Source organism: Homo sapiens, chromosome 4 (assembly GCF_000001405.40).
Source record: "Homo sapiens chromosome 4, GRCh38.p14 Primary Assembly".
NCBI lineage: Eukaryota > Metazoa > Chordata > Mammalia > Primates > Hominidae > Homo > Homo sapiens.
Window position 1 is genome coordinate 15,054,436 of NC_000004.12, and position 17,465 is coordinate 15,071,900.

A 17,465-nucleotide genomic window follows, 5' to 3' on the forward strand; every position below is an offset into this window, starting at 1 on the left:
GAAATTAAGATCTATGTGAAGTGATTGGTCTTTCATAAAATATAAATTTATGAACAGTTGAAATATCAGATTTACATTAAATGTTCTAGATAACAGCAGAGCAGTAGAAATTATTACCAACTGTTGATGAATAAATAATTTAGATAAAAGACAAAGTAGCTAGTTGGGTCTATTTTTTTTTTCAATTATATAAAGATGTAAAACTTGAGGAAGATGCTTAGTTATGTTAGTCAGTTATTGCTAGGAAGACACCGTGGCTGATCACCACAGGACAAGAATTACAAATTGTGCTAACCTTCACATGCAAGTCGCATGATCAAGTCACCATCTGTGGGGAGAGGAAGTATATCCTGCCCCCAATAACAAGAGGAAGAGAGGAGAAAGGAGTCTTGAACATTAATTCAGCTAGTCAGAATTGCTAATGGAAGGTTCTCTGAAATGAATAAAAAAAAGAGGGGAGGTTCAAAGATTAAGACTTTACTTTAAACATTGCTGAAATATAATTTTAGAAAAAGCACACCACACATACTATTCAGTTTCATGACTTAGTGAATTGTCAAGCCTGGAGAAAAGACCCCAATAGAACTGTTAAATGGTTTGATTTTGACTCTGGGAAATGAAGCATGATAAAGAAGTTATTAGCACATAAAAACTAGGTACAGGTTTCTGGTGATGAATTATATGAGTCATATCTACTTTCTGCCATTGAGAATTATAGAACCTTCACTAATAGTTCACATAGTTTTTTAGATAAATGGAGTAATGCAATGTTTTTTTAATACTTGCAGATTCTATATGTATGTAGGGAATCAAGAGCATCTTTTGAGTAGGGATTCTGGATCCCAGGCCTCTATGAGAATCTGATTAAAGCTATCTACCTCTCTCCATGTAGTCTGGAGTTCATTGGAGGTCACAAAACCTTGGTATAGACAGGAAATTATCTCCACATAGATAGAGATGTTTATTTATTAGCTTAGTTTTAGTGTTGTCCATAGTTTTACTCTCTTGCCATTTCATAAAGTTTACTTTATAAATGCCATTTTTATTGAATACTCAAGAGTATTGAGTTATTTTGTAATGTTCCCGACTAAGCTACCATCATCACTTGCCTGGACTGCTTCAGCTGTCTTTCTAGTCTCTCCACATCTCTAGCCCTCTTCAGTTTTCTCCTATCGTCCAGTCACAGCAGTCTTTGAAAACTCATTGGATGGTGCTATTCCTTACTTACCTGCATAAACCCTTTAATGGTTTCTCTTATTTTTAGGATAAAAGCAAAAATGCATTCCTTCTGCCTGGCCTTGCCTTCTTTCTAGCTTCTTCTACTATTGCTGCTTGTTTCCTTCCAGTCCCACAAACTGGCCTTGTTCTCTCCAGCCTCAGTGCTTTTATGTATGATACTCTCTAGACTGATTGTATCTCTTCCTTAGGTCTCTTTATATATTCCCTACTTATCTTTTGTATCTCAAGCTTAAGTGTAAGTTGATCACAGAAAACATTGAGGATCTACCAAATGAGGTCAGTTCCTCCTGCCCAACTCCTAGTGCTGTCTGTGTCTTTCACTCCTAGCACTCATCACAGTTGCAGTATTACATTTTTACAACTTTAAACATTTGTAATTATTTTATTAATGTCAGTTTCTTTCAATGGTCTGTAAAATAGTGTCTTTATTCACCTTTGTGAATGTTCATATTCTCAATAATTCACGGATTGTTAACTGCCTAATAAATGAGATAACAAAAAATACTATAGGGTGGAGAAATTACTTCAAGTAGATGGGGGAAAGCTTCACTGAGAGGTTTGGAATTAATCTAAGGTATTGTATATAGATAGATAAAAAGCACTTGAACAGCGTTCCAGGCAGGAATGGAAATAGAATTTTAAAAAGGAATTAGAAATTGTTTGGATGGAGAAAGATGCAGATTTTTGCATGAGCTACTTGTTCACTTACAAGGATGGTGTACTTTAAGCCTAGAAAGATGGGATGGAACATATTTAATGAAACAGAATAGTTGTTGTCTTTATTGGTATTGTTGCTATCGTTATTGTGGTTTTGCAGTATTTAGTTTCTCTAATCGAAAAAATAAAATTGGCACTGGCAAATCATAGTTTTTTTGGTACAATTACAGTTAAATGTAGACATTTCCAAAGACCAGTATCCCCAAACCTTGTTCTTTCAAGCAATTTTATTATTTCTGTAATTCAGCATTTTCCATGGTTTGGAAAACACTGGTATAGAAGCATCCAGTGGGTGAAGCTACCTTGTAATTACAGCAGTGACTAGAGTCCCTTAGATGCTAAGCCACACATGTACGTAAGTTTCCTTTGCAGTGAATAACCTTCACCTTAAGTGATTATTAGCTTGCTTTAACAAATTCGAAAGAAGCTATTATGTAGTATGTTTTTGTTAAGAATATTTTAATATCTAATGACTTGCATCAGGTAAGTCATAATTTACCTGATATGGCTTAATTTTTGTAATATAAACATTCCCTAATAATAACAAAAATTGAGCAATATTAAAGATATTGAATTTAGAGTATTACTTTAAATTAAGCAATATTAAAATATTAATATCAAAAATTATGAAAATTGGCCAACATTAAAATATTGAATTTAATATACTATTTTAGTAAATTGGTCTTATATCCTTTTAATTATTACAAAATACTTGTAGTTCCCAGATTATTATTTTGTATCAAAATTAAAGCCTTAAAAAAATCTTCATTATTTTCAAGAATATTGAAATTGTTTCCAGCAGTGTAAAAAATCTAAGACATGTTTTTTAATCCTGTGTAATCTTACCTTTGGAAGTTTGTATTTATATAGGGTGAAATCATTTATATAAGGTGAAATGGCTCCAGGTATTTTTTATGCAAACAGGTATTTTTATTTTATTAAAATGAAGTACTTTAGTGTCACATCAGACTTTTGTGGCATAAAGCTATGGTTGACAATAAGCTGAGTTTTCTGACTTCAGTAAAACATGACCTTACATTTCCCATTATACGATGGAACAGACATACATGGCTTGCCTGATGTCTGCTTTGTACTGGGACTAGATTAAAATGCTGTACATTTGTTCGCATAGAAATCTTGCCAAGGTAATGGATAGATCATTTATAGCTATCACCTGCTGGGAATAATCACATAATAGTAAACTTGCAGTGTAAATTTTGATGCCTTCTTTTTATAATGTAGTCTATTCTGTCTGCTGGATACATGATTTTTTATTAAAGATTGACAATTGGTTGTTTACAAGTCTAGATAGTCTCCAGACAGTTTGAAAAATGTATTCCACTGCTTTCCAAGTTGAGGCTTGATTTAAAAGTTTTGATCCATCTGACCCATGTTTTATTAAGGAACATGTTTCATTCCAGCCTTCCTACTGTAGCTTTCTTAGTATCATTGGGAAGTTTTCATGAGACTGTGGAATGTTTCCTCTGCTTAGGGGATTTCCTGGACCTTTCCAAGTGCGTTCCAGTCTAAAAGTCTAGAACTTGGATTAACCTGAGGGCATTTATAGCAAACTCTAGCTCCAGATATACTCACCTGGTTAATTCTGCCAAGCTCTTTAAGAAGGTAGTATCACTACTAGAAAGCGCATGGGAGACCTTGGGGCTGACCTCGGTTTGAAATTATTCAACCATTTACTATGAGACTGACTTTGGTGGTACTTTGATTTTTTTCTTCTGTAAAACAGGAATAATATTTCATAGACTTTTGAGAATCAAATACTAATGCATGTAAGTTAATACAGTATCTGATAGCAAGTGTTCTATATAAAGTAGCCAATTGCTTTACTGAGTATCTGTTTTAATGTGTATTACATAAGATATTGTGTTCTCTTGTAGAAGGTAAATGGTTTTTCATCCTATTTGATAGTTTGTTTTTTTTTTTCAAAAGCATGTATTTTCTAAATAGTACTGAAATTTGGAGTAAAATCACTTGGCTTGACATATTGCCTCATCTTTAATGGTTATTCCAGGCTATGCATTTCTTCTCTTTCAAGAAGAGAGCTCAGTTCAGGCACTCATTGATGCTTGTATTGAAGAAGATGGAAAACTCTATCTGTGTGTTTCTAGCCCTACTATCAAGGACAAACCAGTAAGTAAATACCACATGAACTTCAGGCTACAAATGCAAATTTTTCAAAAATTGTTTTGAAATGATTGTTAATTAATAAAAGAACAATTAAACTACCATGTTGAGTTTTAGTTTTTGAAACATCCAGATAATTTATAGCAGGAGTCCCCAACCCCTGGGCAGTGGACCAGTACTGGTGGTCCATGATCTTTTAGGAACCAGGCCACACAGCAGGAGATGAGTGGCAGGCAAGCCAGCATTACTGCCTGAGCTCTGCCTCCTGTCAGATCAGAGATGGCACTCTATTCTCATAGGAATGCGAACCCTATTGTGAACTGCACGTGCGAGTGATCTAGGTTGCATGTTCTTTATGAGAATCTAATGCCTGATGATCTGAGGTGGAACACTTTGATCTCGAAACCATCCTCCACCACCTCCATCCTTAGAAAAACTGTCTTCCTCAAAATTGGTCCCTGGTGCCAAAAAGGTCAGAGACTGCGGATTTATAGTATCTAGATCAACAAAAGTTATAAAAATAATTTGTTTCCAGATCCCACTATACAAATTTTTAAGCAATAAAAGAATCACTATTAACTGGCAAAAACAAACAAACAGAAAATTCTCATAAGACATCAAGGGAGTAAGACCCAATGTAATTTTCTTCATAGGTTCAAATACGTCCTTGGAATTTAAGTGATAGTGATTTTGTAATGGATGGTTCTCAGCCTTTGGATCCCCGAAAAACAATTTTTGTTGGAGGTGTTCCTAGGCCATTAAGGGCTGGTAAGTAGAATGTTAACAATTTTGTTTAAAAAAATCATTTAAATATGTCCTAGTCAATTTAATAAACGTTTGGAAGCTATTGTGTACATGACACTATTGGACAGAGCAGGAGCAGATTCTGCATGCACCAATTGCTGCTAACTACAGAATTTTGAAACAAATTCTGAGGCCCCCTCTTGAAACTCTCCAACTGGAGAATTGGGTACTTATCTATCAATATTAGTGCAGTAGCTAACTCAAAGCAAATCTATAAGAATCCACCTAAATACTTCCGATTTCCTAAGTGTACCTCTCTGAGATAAGAGAATTTGGGGTCTGTTTATTTTGTGTAGATCGATTCTGATATCTGAAAAAGAAATATGGGATTTTTTTCTCTTTTATCTATATTTTAATCATTAAAGTAGCACTTTAGATAAGTGAATGATGATAAACTTCTGTTTATCAATAACTAGGAACCAAAAACCTACCAAAATATGTCACAGAGGAATATAATTGTAGATGTATATGCCCACTTTGCACTTGTTAGATGGTACTGTGCACCATGTGTAGAGTGTTAGTGATTTCCATCACTGAGAACATCGTCTCCCCAGTCATAGAGATATATGTTAAAGAACTATTCATACATGGAAATACTTATAGAATATGATGACTTCTACAAAGAAGTACTATAGGGAACAGAAGAGCATGTAGCAAGGAAATATGATATCTGATATCTTGAAGGTATTTGAAGTCTGATATCTTGAAGGTATTTGTAGTTGAGCTGACATATAAAGACTGGGCAAAAGGAGTAGGATCAGGGTGGTAGCAGGGTTCTGAGGAATGTGTTTCACAGAAAGGGAACAGCTTATTTAAAGGTCTTGAGTGGAGGGAAACAGGGTGCTTTGAAGGAACTGAAAGAAGCCCAAAGTGCCTGACTTGGGATACAAGGAGTGAGGGAAGGGGTCAAATCATACAAGTCTAATAGACTAACTCGGTATTTATTCTCAGAGCAAGGGTAAACCATTGAAGAGTTTTTAAGCAAAAGAGAGACTTCATTATCTTTGCAGTTTTCAAAGTTCACTTTAGCTAATGATTCAGAGAGAGGGGGGCCAGGGTGAGAGTAAATGCGGGCAGACCAGTTTAACATCCTATTATTACAATCCAGGAGATAGACAATGGTGGCTTGGATTAGTGGTAGCAGTGGAGAAAGCCAACTGAACAGAGGTGACAGATGTTTATGAGGTAGACACAAAGACTGAATCTCATCTTTCAGTCATAAGCCACTGGGTGGATAGTGATGCCTTTTACTGAGATGGAAGGAAAACTGGAGAAGGAGCAGATAGGGAGGGAAGATTGTGGTCTTGGTTTTGAACACAAGTTTATGGCACCATTCAGAGCTCCCAAATAGAAATTTCAATTAAACCATGGTATATGGTATATTTTTTTATGTATTTTTATGGTGGTATCTGGTGTATTTTTTAAGAGAATCACTCTTTATACTGTTTTAAAAAGCTGGGAAGGCAAGGGCCAAAAGCAAAGAGAGATAAGGTTATTGCCATGAACCAGATGAAAAATGATGTTAGCATGAATCAGGATGTTAGTGATGGAGGTGAGGCAATTGGACTCTAGATATGTTTTAAAATCAAGTTTACAGGATTGCATGTGCAGTATGGAGCAAGGGAAGAATACAGAAAGAATGAAGCCAAAGATCTTGACAACTTCATCTTTTCTGTTGCTTTCTAACTGGGTCAGCAGAAACTCATTGGAGCAGGTTTAATGGGATAAGGGAAGATTATGAGTTCCATTTTTAATATACCGAGTGTGGCCAGTGCCTGTTAAATATCGAGTTGTCCAGTAGACAGTTGCATGTACAAGTCTGGCATCCATGGGAGAGGTCCACACTAGAGATAAAAATGTAGGAGCTTAAAAACATATAGATGGTGTTTAAAGCTATGATACAGGATGAAGGTACCAAAGCCAGGAGTGTAGATAGTGTTGCAAGGATTGAAAGTTAGGGTACTCTGACATTGAAAAGTTAAGGCGTTTAGGATGAACTATCAAGGAAGACTCAGAAGAAATGTATCAGTGAGGTAGGAGCAGAATTAGTGGGATAATATATTCTAGAAGCCAGATGGAGAAAATATTTGAATGAGAAGGAAGGGATTAATTGTGTTCAATGCTACTTACAGATAGATTGACCATTGGACTTGGCTTGAACAATTATAGTGGAGTCATGGTGTGATAGTCTGGTTAGAAAAAGAGTTGAATAAAGAGAAAGGGAGGAGAGGAATTGGGGGGAATACTGGAACAGATTTTGAGAAATTTGGTTGTAAAGGGGAACAGAGAAATGGAGCAGTAGCTGAGAGGGAGAAAAAGTGTTATGGGAATTTTTTTTAAGATAGGAAAATTATAGTGTACTTGGGAAAATTGATTGTATAGAAGGGAAAGGGGAGAATTGCTGAAGCAGTGTCCTAAGTGAGAGTGTATGGGATCTAGTATGCAAGTGAAAGGATTGGATTTAGGAAAGAGCATGGAACTATTTCTCTATAGGACAGAAGATAGAGTATATAGTGGGTTTAGTGCTGTAAGTAGGTAGATGTGATGGTGGTGAGTCACTTTATAGTTTAAAAAAAGCATCCTCGATCCCCGTCCTTTTTTAACAACAGCCTCTTATCTGCCATTCTACTCCTGGTCAAATGATAATATACTATTGACTTTTACGTTTTACAAAAAGTACTTAAAAATTGTTGATTACTGTGTTCTCTCACATTTGATGTAAACTTCTTTTCCTTTTCAAGTGGAACTTGCTATGATCATGGACCGGCTGTATGGTGGAGTTTGTTATGCAGGAATTGATACAGATCCTGAGCTAAAATACCCAAAAGGTGCTGGGCGAGTTGCTTTCTCCAATCAGCAGAGCTATATTGCTGCCATTAGTGCTCGGTTTGTTCAGCTTCAGCATGGTGATATTGATAAACGTGTAAGTTGCATATTGGGAAATCACTTATGTCCTATAATAAGGTGCTGATCCAAAGCCTCATACCCTAACGAGTTAATAATATAATTTGAACACTTTAATTTTTATACTTCTGTAAGTCTTAAAGGATATTATATAAAAATATCCTTGAAATGGAAAATTACTGAACACACTTTAAACTTTAGATATAATGTAAAAATATTAATATCATTGTGCAGCCATGTCAAAATTTTTTAATCAGCCAGTAAGGTCAAATATTCTAACCGTGGAGGCAGAGGTTGTTTTAAGAGCCTGTACATTGGAGTCAGACTGCCTGGGATTGAACCCCATTTCTACAAATTAACCTTCTGTATGCCTCTTTTTCCTCACTTGTAAAATAGAAAACAATGATAACATGTCTTTCTCAGTAATTTTGAGGATTAAATGAATTTACATATATATAAGCACTTAGAATAGAACTTGACGGAGAGTGTTATTTAAATGTTTGTTTTCATTTGTCACAAAATCTAAAATAAAAATGCATTGTGTGTATTTCTCTAAAATAATTGACCTAAACTTAAAATTTTTTTAGTAGCATTGCTTGAATCATCACAATAAGAACTTGTAAGAAGTACTAGGAATGATAACTGAAACCCCTACTGAATAATTCCAAGTACTGACTACCTTCTAAAATAGGGAAAGACACTAGCATTCATTTACAAATCTATTTTATGCCAAAATCTGTGAACAGTTCCTATACATAGCTAAATATATTATAAAATAATCATGTTTATAATTATAGTATAGCAGAAATACATTAAGAATATGCGGGTAAATGAATTTTTTATATCTGAATTAGTAGATAGAAGATACAATTTGAGTGGGTACTCCTTTTCCCCAATATAACAGTTTCTTCAAGCCTCTTCTGGGGCTGTTTGGCACATTAAAAGACTATTTTGGGGACAGGGAAGCTGGTTAATTAATACCGATTGACTAGACCATGCATGCTAGAAGTAGTCCTCAATGTAATTACCCAACCGTCTCATTTAGAAAAGAAATGCAGCATAGGTTCAGTTCACAAATGCAGAGTAGGTTTTTTTTGTTTGTTTGCATTGCTACTTAAAAGGTTGCCAAAAAAAAAAAACTAAGAGGAGGTGCTCTGCTTTTGACAAGACACGCATACGTAACTTTTCTGAACTTGTCTGAACATTAAGAGTTCCTGTAGTGTTGTGTTTCTCAACCTCTGCTGTACATTATTCACCTGGGAACTTAGAAAAATCTTGACATTTGGGTCCTACCCCCTGAGGTTCTGCTGAATTGGTTATAAAGCTCCGGAAGTGACACAAATGTACAGCAGTGGTTTAGACCGCTAACAGAGAGGTGATAGGTCACAGACGACGTTATTTACATAGTATGTAATCATGGTATTTAATATACACTACCAGAAGAAAAAGACTGTTACAGTGTCATACCTCATACCTCTTTGTTTCTGAAATTATAGTGAAGGACCGATTATTTGGAGCAGAGTACTGACTCTTAAAGAGCAACTCAGTTGCAGAGCAGATGAATTGAGATACATGTGCCTTCTTAAAAAGGCATTGAAATACCTGAGGGAAAAGCTTATTTTCTAAGATATGTGCTACAAAGGTAATTTTGAACTGTATTTGAAAGAATTTGAGCCTTAAATATTTTACAAGTCACTAATATTGCTTATACAAAGAAATATTAAACCATTAACCTTTATACCTTTCATCTCTCCAATATGAATATGGTTATTAAACCATAAAAATTGAATAAATATACGTGTATAACTGCCAACCCAGAGATACACGGGATACTTATTTGGCGGGAATGAAAATTGTTTATTCCACTTAACTTTTTAGACTCATGGATACTGTGGTTTAGTTCCTATCTGATAGCTGGAAAGCAGTCACCACAGATGTGTAATTCATTATATTTTTTTGTATGTTATTTCATAAGTAGTATAATTCACTGTGACTTCTAGTAAATGTTAGAAAATAAGACTAGGTGAAGTGTAGTGTTAATGAAACTTCCTTTTGCATATAGAAGAGTTTAATTATTAGAGATTATTAATGAAAAATAGGTTTTGAAATTCAATTTTCCATCTTTAAAGTCTGGTTTTGAGTAAAGTAGGTTAGCTTCATAAAACTAATATCTAGAATTTTAAAAATACAAATAATTGAAATCATTGCATTTGTGAAATTTTCATTCAACAGTTTTATATTAAAATGTAACTCCTGAACATCTGGTGTTTTATCAGGTATTATGGAAGTGAAGTAAACATCACAGACCCTGGTTTCAATCTGTCTAAAATCTTATTTTAAAAAAAAAGAAATAACCATGAGAAAGAAACCCAGAAAACATATGTAAATGTATTGCATTTATGCATATATTTATAGCATTTCTACTTCGTGCTAGATATTCTTCTAGGCACTGGGAACTGAATGTTGAGCAAATGGGTGCTGTCCCAGTGTTCATGGAGTTTATAATTCAGTGAGATGAAATCCAGTTAACTCTCATGCTACCTTAATTTATTCTTTGTTTGTAATAATGTTCCCATAAAGGAAAAAGTTGAGAGATAAAAATTAAGCATAACAATTTTAAAAATTTGTGTTAAAGATTGTAAAGCCACTGGAAAAAAGGTTAAAAACTCTTAACTGACAAAAGAGAACTCATAAATCAATTTAAAAAACAAACAAAACTCCAGCAAGAAAATATGCAAAAGATACAAACAAGCAATTCAGAAAAGCCAAGTGTCGAATATACATAAAATATATTTATCCTAATCCTAATCAATGAAATATAAACAACAATGTAATTCCATTACCTGTCTATCAAATGAACATCCTACAGTTCTTGTAATCAACTTTTAGGTTGTTTCTAGTTTGTTGTTGTTCTTACAAATAATATTGCGGAAAATATCCTTATATTCATTTTCTGCACTCATGCAAGTATTTCAGTAGAATACATTCAGAATACAAACTGTTGGGTCATTACTTTTTACTATAGGCAACCTTTACTTTATGTCAATCCAGTCCTTCAGAACACTCAGTGTTCTGTTGTCTCCTAAGGAACGGCTGAGCTGTTATGCTGTCTGGCACTTTTCAGCCAAACAACAGTAAAAACCTTCCATTCATAAAGTTATCACAAGCAGGAAAGCAAGGCTATTGCAGCTAATAGTAGCTAATACTAATTTATAGAATATTTTACCATGTGCCGAGCACTGTCTTATGCTTTTACATTCACAATTTAAGCCTCACAACTCTGACAGGATCTGTTATTCCCACTTGACAGATGTGGAAACTGAGGTGGAGAAGTTTATCATTCAGAGCTGACTCCAGTCTGAAGTGTTCTGCCAAGTCAGACCTTCACAACGGGACTTGTGCTTTATATCTTATAAATTTACAGAAGTCTAGGCATGCCCTTTGTAAGATTCTCCACAGTTCTGGCTTGTCTGTGCCAGTTATTTCCAAGCAGAGTGTGACTCGCACCTGCAGTGGAGAGGCGCCGCCTTAATCAGTGGCTGTTCGGGTTCTGCCATCTCACAGGTGATACTGGAATGAGGGGAAAAGGTGTGGAAACTGTCTTCCATGACTACTTGATATCTCTTTTGTTTTTCACTCATAATCTCCCCTAACTCTGAAAATACCAGCACACAGGTGTTTCAAAGATGTTATTCAAGAAAGGTGAGAGTGGAATGTTTTGCAAATCAGATTTTTATAGATTTTTAAAGTGTTTTAACCTACTACATTGTAAAGCTCCTTCCTTGAGAAACTGCCCATTTCCTCAGCTTTTAATGCTGGTCCTTTTTTTCTGCTGTAGAACATTTTAAGTTATTACAGAATTTGATTTCTGAAGCAGACCCTAATGAGACTTAACTTTCTTTTTTTTCAAGGTGGAGGTAAAGCCATATGTGCTAGATGACCAGATGTGTGATGAATGCCAGGGCGCACGCTGTGGTGGAAAATTTGCTCCCTTTTTTTGTGCCAATGTCACTTGCCTGCAGTATTACTGTGAGTTTTGTTGGGCAAATATCCACTCTCGTGCTGGACGTGAGTTCCATAAGCCATTGGTAAAGGAAGGTGCTGATCGCCCACGTCAGATCCACTTCCGCTGGAACTAAGAATAGCAAACTGGCCTCTGTTTAACAAGGAAAGAAAGGGTGCATGTGGCTTACTGTGTCTGAAGATACTGACATGCAGAAGAAATAAGTGCATTCTTCTGCTTTTCACCCCAGCTATCAATACATGCATCTTTATCAGCAGCCAAAACACTACAAGCCTCTTGTTTTTCACCAAAACCCTACATCTCAGGCTTACTAATTTTTGTGATATTTTCATGTTCAAATAAAATGTTTTTTTGTATTTTCTCCAAGTTATTTTTATATGTAAAGTTAAAATTAGATATGAGAATGTTTTGCGTAGGGGCAACACAGTCTGCTGCTATATAGTGGGGGAAGCGTGCACTTATTTCTAAACATGGGTTTTTAACTTCAAGATCTGCCCCAGTAATTTACCAAAGGTAGCAAAATAATAGTGAAGATGGAATATGTCTGCTACAAATGCTTATTTTTATTGTTGCTATTTTCAGTGTATACATAAACTAAAAATTAGGGTTGATTTTTTTGCTCTCCATTTTGACTTGCAAGAAATAATACCTCAAGATAATCTGATTTATTAGCTATTTTTAAACATTTTTAATCACAAGCTGTATTAGCTTTGCTGCTATATAGGTGTTATGTGTAAATGCCACCTATTAATACGGGACTGAAAACGTTAGAGACACACTGCATTGCAGATAAAATGCAGGCAGCACAATATGGCCTAAACTGCCATAGTTTTAGAATGTGAAAAAAATGCATGTTTACTTACCTGTATACACCATATGCATGCACTAGAATTATTAACTAACGAGGTGAGGTATTGCAAATGTTCAAAAAAGCTCTCTTGAATCTAGGTAGCATGAACAAATTATAAAATTTGTTTAAAAAAGCAAACTTGCATGCATTATTGTGACTTCAAGTTTAAAAAATCGTCTTACATGTGTACAATATGCAAATTAGTTTTAGATTAGAGAGTGCAGCCATTTTGTGATCTGGTCAGTAGTGGAATTCGATTTTATGCAGACTGGATGTAATATTTGTAATCCCTGTGCAATTTTGTGACGTGCGGTTCTAATTCATGTGCAGTGATATAGTATAGATAAAAGAATGAGTAAAAGAAAATACAAGAATTCTAAAGAAAGTTGGTTTTAGCCCCTTTGATAGTCCATGGTTAAGACATCCTTTATAAACCAAAGATGGCCAGCACACTGCTAACCAGTCACCAAATGTAAGACCCATAAGAAACCCATATTTAAAAATCTGAATTTTTTAGAAGAATGCAAAACTTTAGTAAACCCTAAGTAAAGTCAAAATGGAGAAGGGGAAATATACAGATGGCTAGTTGCATAAAATTAAATTTTACCTTTATAAGACAATGGTGAAATCTGGCTTGAACTTGCTTATGTGTTTAACCTATAAATATTGGGGTCTTCTGTCTAAACTGGGGTCACTGTTGCATGGAACATTGTTCTTAATAGTTGAGAATTGCTTTTTTGAAAATTTTCATGAAGGAATTTTGGTAATGACTTTGCTTGCAGGTTTTTTGGGGTGTTTTGAGAAAGTGGCATGGAAACATGCAGTAGTTAATGAGTTTCTCTTGGTACTGAACACTATTAGAATATCATTAGTGATATTTTTTCTCTTTAGAGCATTTTTAATGCAACTAGCCCCTATATTTTAATGTAAGAGTTACTCTGCAATCTAAGCAAAGCACCCAACAATGGTAAATGTTTTTTAAAAATGCAGAACTAAGATTTTTGACTCTAAAGAGAGAAAATTACAAGGGTGTTGCCTTATAGCAAACCCTTGGGACAATCCTTCATGTGAGCAAAGTGTTGATCTTAATATTGGTTGTCTGTGGTGTGCTTTTTTGTACTGTAAAAATATGTGGTTCATGTCTAACTCTGCTGTTTTATTGTGGTTGTGGTTCAAGTTTTTAATGTTTAAAGTTGATGCTGTTTTCAGAAGAGCTTTTTACTAATTTATTTGTCAGTGTTCCCTATTTGTTACTTAACCATGATCCTCCAGATTTTTTGGAGTATTCTTTTCTAACCTTAACCCTGCCAAACCTTGATCCATTTTGACATTTGTTATGCACTATTTTTATATCTCTGTGAGAGATTTTTCCAACAGTCAGCTATTTTATGGCACACTTTTTTTGACTGATGACATCTCCTTTGCTATACCTCAATTTTTGGAATTTAGAGAAGAAATCAGTAGTTTTGCAATGTTAATTATTTAGATATTTAATTTCGCAGATTTTTAAACTTTATTTTCATAATTTCTGCTTAATGTTTAAAATTGAAGAGCCTTTTCATGTATTAAATAATGAACACAAATTATATAATTAAAATAATTGGAGATGTTGAAAATCATTTTCCCTTCTTAAACAGAAATAAATATTTGGAATGAAGGGGAATGTACTAGAACACCCTTTTTGCCACGGGTAAAAATAACAGAAATGTATGGTTTGTTTTACCTTCATTTCTGTACAAGTAAAGCTTATTAGTCTAATGTTTTGTTCCTTTCCCACCTCACCCCTACCTCTTTTGTTTTGTTTTGTTTTTGCCCTTTATGTACTACATTCTTATTTTCTAACTTTTAAACACTGTATTGGAGGTTTTTTTTTAATTTACAGATCATATTTATTTTACTATTTTTGTAGAAAATTATTAATTTTGATTGTATTTTTGTATTTTAAAAGCTTCTTCACTTGTGTTCCCTAAATATTCATATTGCTGCCCAAAAGTATGACTGTGGAGGAAAAAAAAATACTTTAAAAATCCACACTTTTTGTTAAGAAGGAAACATTTAGCATTTATATATTTGTGTATGGAAAACACTTGATATTTTATCCCTGTTGCATCTGGCTGCACAGAGCCTCTCCTCAAAGATGCTACAAAACTTGAATATAACACATTTTGGAAGGCTGACTAACCTCGATTCTGTGTTGTGATGTGCAATACTGTTTCTAATGTTTGTATAAAAAAAAACAGTGTAAACCTTTTTAATGCAAATTTATTTTTTTCATTGCATATTTTGCAGATTTTATCCACAGTGTCATTTTTTACTGTCAGAAAAGATACCCCTTTTGTCATTGCAACTATTTTTTAAATCCAGAAATCTTTGTACTGATGTAAATGATTGTAGTTATTTTGGATAGTGTTTTGCTAACAAAAGGAGAGACTTTTTTCATGCATATTTCTATTTTGTTTTTTTGGGTTTTATTTTATTTTAATAGTAGTAAAATACTTGGAATAATTTTTCATATTCTTGTCATTAATATTATTTTGTATTTTTATGTGGAAATATATAATTTTATGACACTAATTGCTAAAGTTTATTTTATGTTGAATTATTTTTGGAGCTGAAATCTTTGTAATATTAAAGCAACTAGTTTCTAATTCCCAGTTTCTGTATAGAATCGCACAAGTGGTTTATGGAGTGTTTGGATTGTAATTATAAATGGTTCTTTGATATGCAAATTAATATTTTCAGTTGATTTTATTTTATATTCCTAATGGGGTGTTAAAGCCGTTTTTTATTTTTTTCTAAATAAAAAGAGAACCCATGCTTTTATGGACACTAGGTAAACACCTTCAGCTTAAATTTTTCGTTAAATATTTTAGTTTATTTTATTGTTATCTTCCAGGTGTCTAAATCTCCAGTCTGTCTGTTGTACTGGTAATTTAACTCTGTAATGGAATAGTTTGCTGCCAACTATTTATATTAAGTAATTTTTAAATATTTGTAATATTGTTGACTGACTAATAAACTATTAAGTTATTGGCATAGTTGTGGAATCTTATTCTTCGGTTCAAATCAAGTAAAATATTCAAAAACACCAGTAAGATCTTATTTAGAGAGAGAGCTTAGTGACATAAATATATTATGATGCCCAGGCCAAACTACATTTCAGTACAAGGATAGAGGAGAAGCCTTGGAGACCATGTTGTCTAGTATCTCTCAGTATTTCAGCCCTGAGTCCTCTTGTGTCAGTTCTCCCACCCTCATCCCCCATATATCATAGAAATTTCTGTGTTACAGTCATCACTTATAATTAATATTGCCATATCTAAGTTGATGCTGCATTCAAAAAATGAGGAACTGTTAATCATGTTGCTAAATGCACAGTTTTCATGATACTTTCTCAGATACCCTCTAGTTGGGAATCACTTGTAGTGTTTTACTTGTTCTTTGCACAGCCTGTGTGGATTTTTCAGTGTCTACTTTGAAGAGGGAGGGAGAAGGAAAAGAAGTATAGAGTAAGGAGCCTGGAATCTAGGTTCCTCATCCTAATTATAACTAGAACAGCTCTACTTTTAACTTTAACAAAGCTGAAGTTCTACCTAAAAATTGGTATGCAGTCACTGGGCAGAAGGAGGAAAGGATTCCATTGCATTTTCAGAAAATGAAAGATCACTGATCATAACCAAATGTTTTGTTTTACCTATAAGGACATAGGTATGTCAGAAAGGGTAAAACTTAATGTTTCCTCATCTTCTACAAGACACCATAGAAACTCCTTAAATGGGCTAATCTTGCCATTGTATGCCCTTCATATTGTGTCACTGTCACCCATGTCCTCCAAGCAAATCATGCATCTCTACATATCTGTATCTTGTTTAGCATATGCTGCCATTTTTCTATTTGGAATCTATTTTCTCTTTCCTCAACAAAGTCCTCTTTCATAATAAAACTAAAGAGCCGCCTCCACATTCTGGCCTATCTAAGACAACAGGAATTTCACAGTGTCTTAATTCCCTTGCTACTGACATAAAGATCATTTTCTTATGCTCCCCTTTCCCTCGGTTATTTAAGAAAAGAATAAGCTTTGAATACCAACTTAGTACTGAACACCGACTTTGTCAAATCTTTGCTCACAAGGTCTCATAGCCTTGAAGGTGAAAGGCCAGGCTAACTCAAATGCAATGCAGTATGCTAATAAAAGATAAAATACACTTTCATAAACATGTATAAAGCATGAAAGGAAGGAATATTCTTCTTAAGTAATTTCATTTCCTTGAAATGAAATTACTTAAGAACTTTTACATAGGGGATAGCATTTGACTTAAATTTTTCCATGAACAAAGAATTAAAAGATACAAAGATTAGCACTCACAAATCCTTTCTAAAAGAGTTACTTAAAGATCTATTTCACCAAAAAGAAGGAATGATAATAAAATACCCAGGAAACATGAAGACATGGGATACTACATAGGTAAAAAATATCGCTCTAGTGTATAGTTAGGAAACGAAATGTGGCTAAAAAGCTTCACACAATTTAGAAGCAAGTCCAAATAAAGTCATAATTTAAAACATCGATGTTAAAATAATAACTAAAACTCAAGGTAATTTAAAGCAAAACCTGGATGAACATTTGAAATGAAGAAGAAAGCCTTGTTTGGGATAGAAGAAGATAAGACTATAGATGTTGATTAATTTATTATTAATACTAAATTGTCTTCAAATTGCAATATATGTAATTTTTAAATGCATTTAATATATATTTAAATGTAACATTTTAAATATTTTAAGTCA

The 17,465-nt window shown here is 34.0% G+C and overlaps 1 protein-coding gene and 1 long non-coding RNA gene across 12 annotated transcripts in view; one reads left to right on the plus strand and one right to left on the minus strand.

The window, feature by feature from the left end:
* CPEB2 (cytoplasmic polyadenylation element binding protein 2) overlaps window positions 1-15,716 on the plus strand; it is a 67,671-nt gene extending 51,955 nt beyond the window's left edge. For all 11 annotated transcript variants that reach the window (XM_005248135.4, XM_011513777.4, NM_001177381.2 and 8 more), the window contains 4 exons: window positions 3,986-4,104; window positions 4,752-4,866; window positions 7,644-7,825; window positions 11,718-15,716. In XM_005248135.4, coding sequence (XP_005248192.2) covers window positions 3,986-4,104; window positions 4,752-4,866; window positions 7,644-7,825; window positions 11,718-11,945 — 644 coding nt within the window. In that variant the 3' untranslated portion in view covers window positions 11,946-15,716. The remainder of the gene's footprint in view (window positions 1-3,985; window positions 4,105-4,751; window positions 4,867-7,643; window positions 7,826-11,717) is intronic.
* The window catches only part of C1QTNF7-AS1 (C1QTNF7 antisense RNA 1), a 422,973-nt gene that overhangs the window by 49,494 nt on the left and 356,014 nt on the right, over window positions 1-17,465 (minus strand). The window lies entirely within an intron of this gene.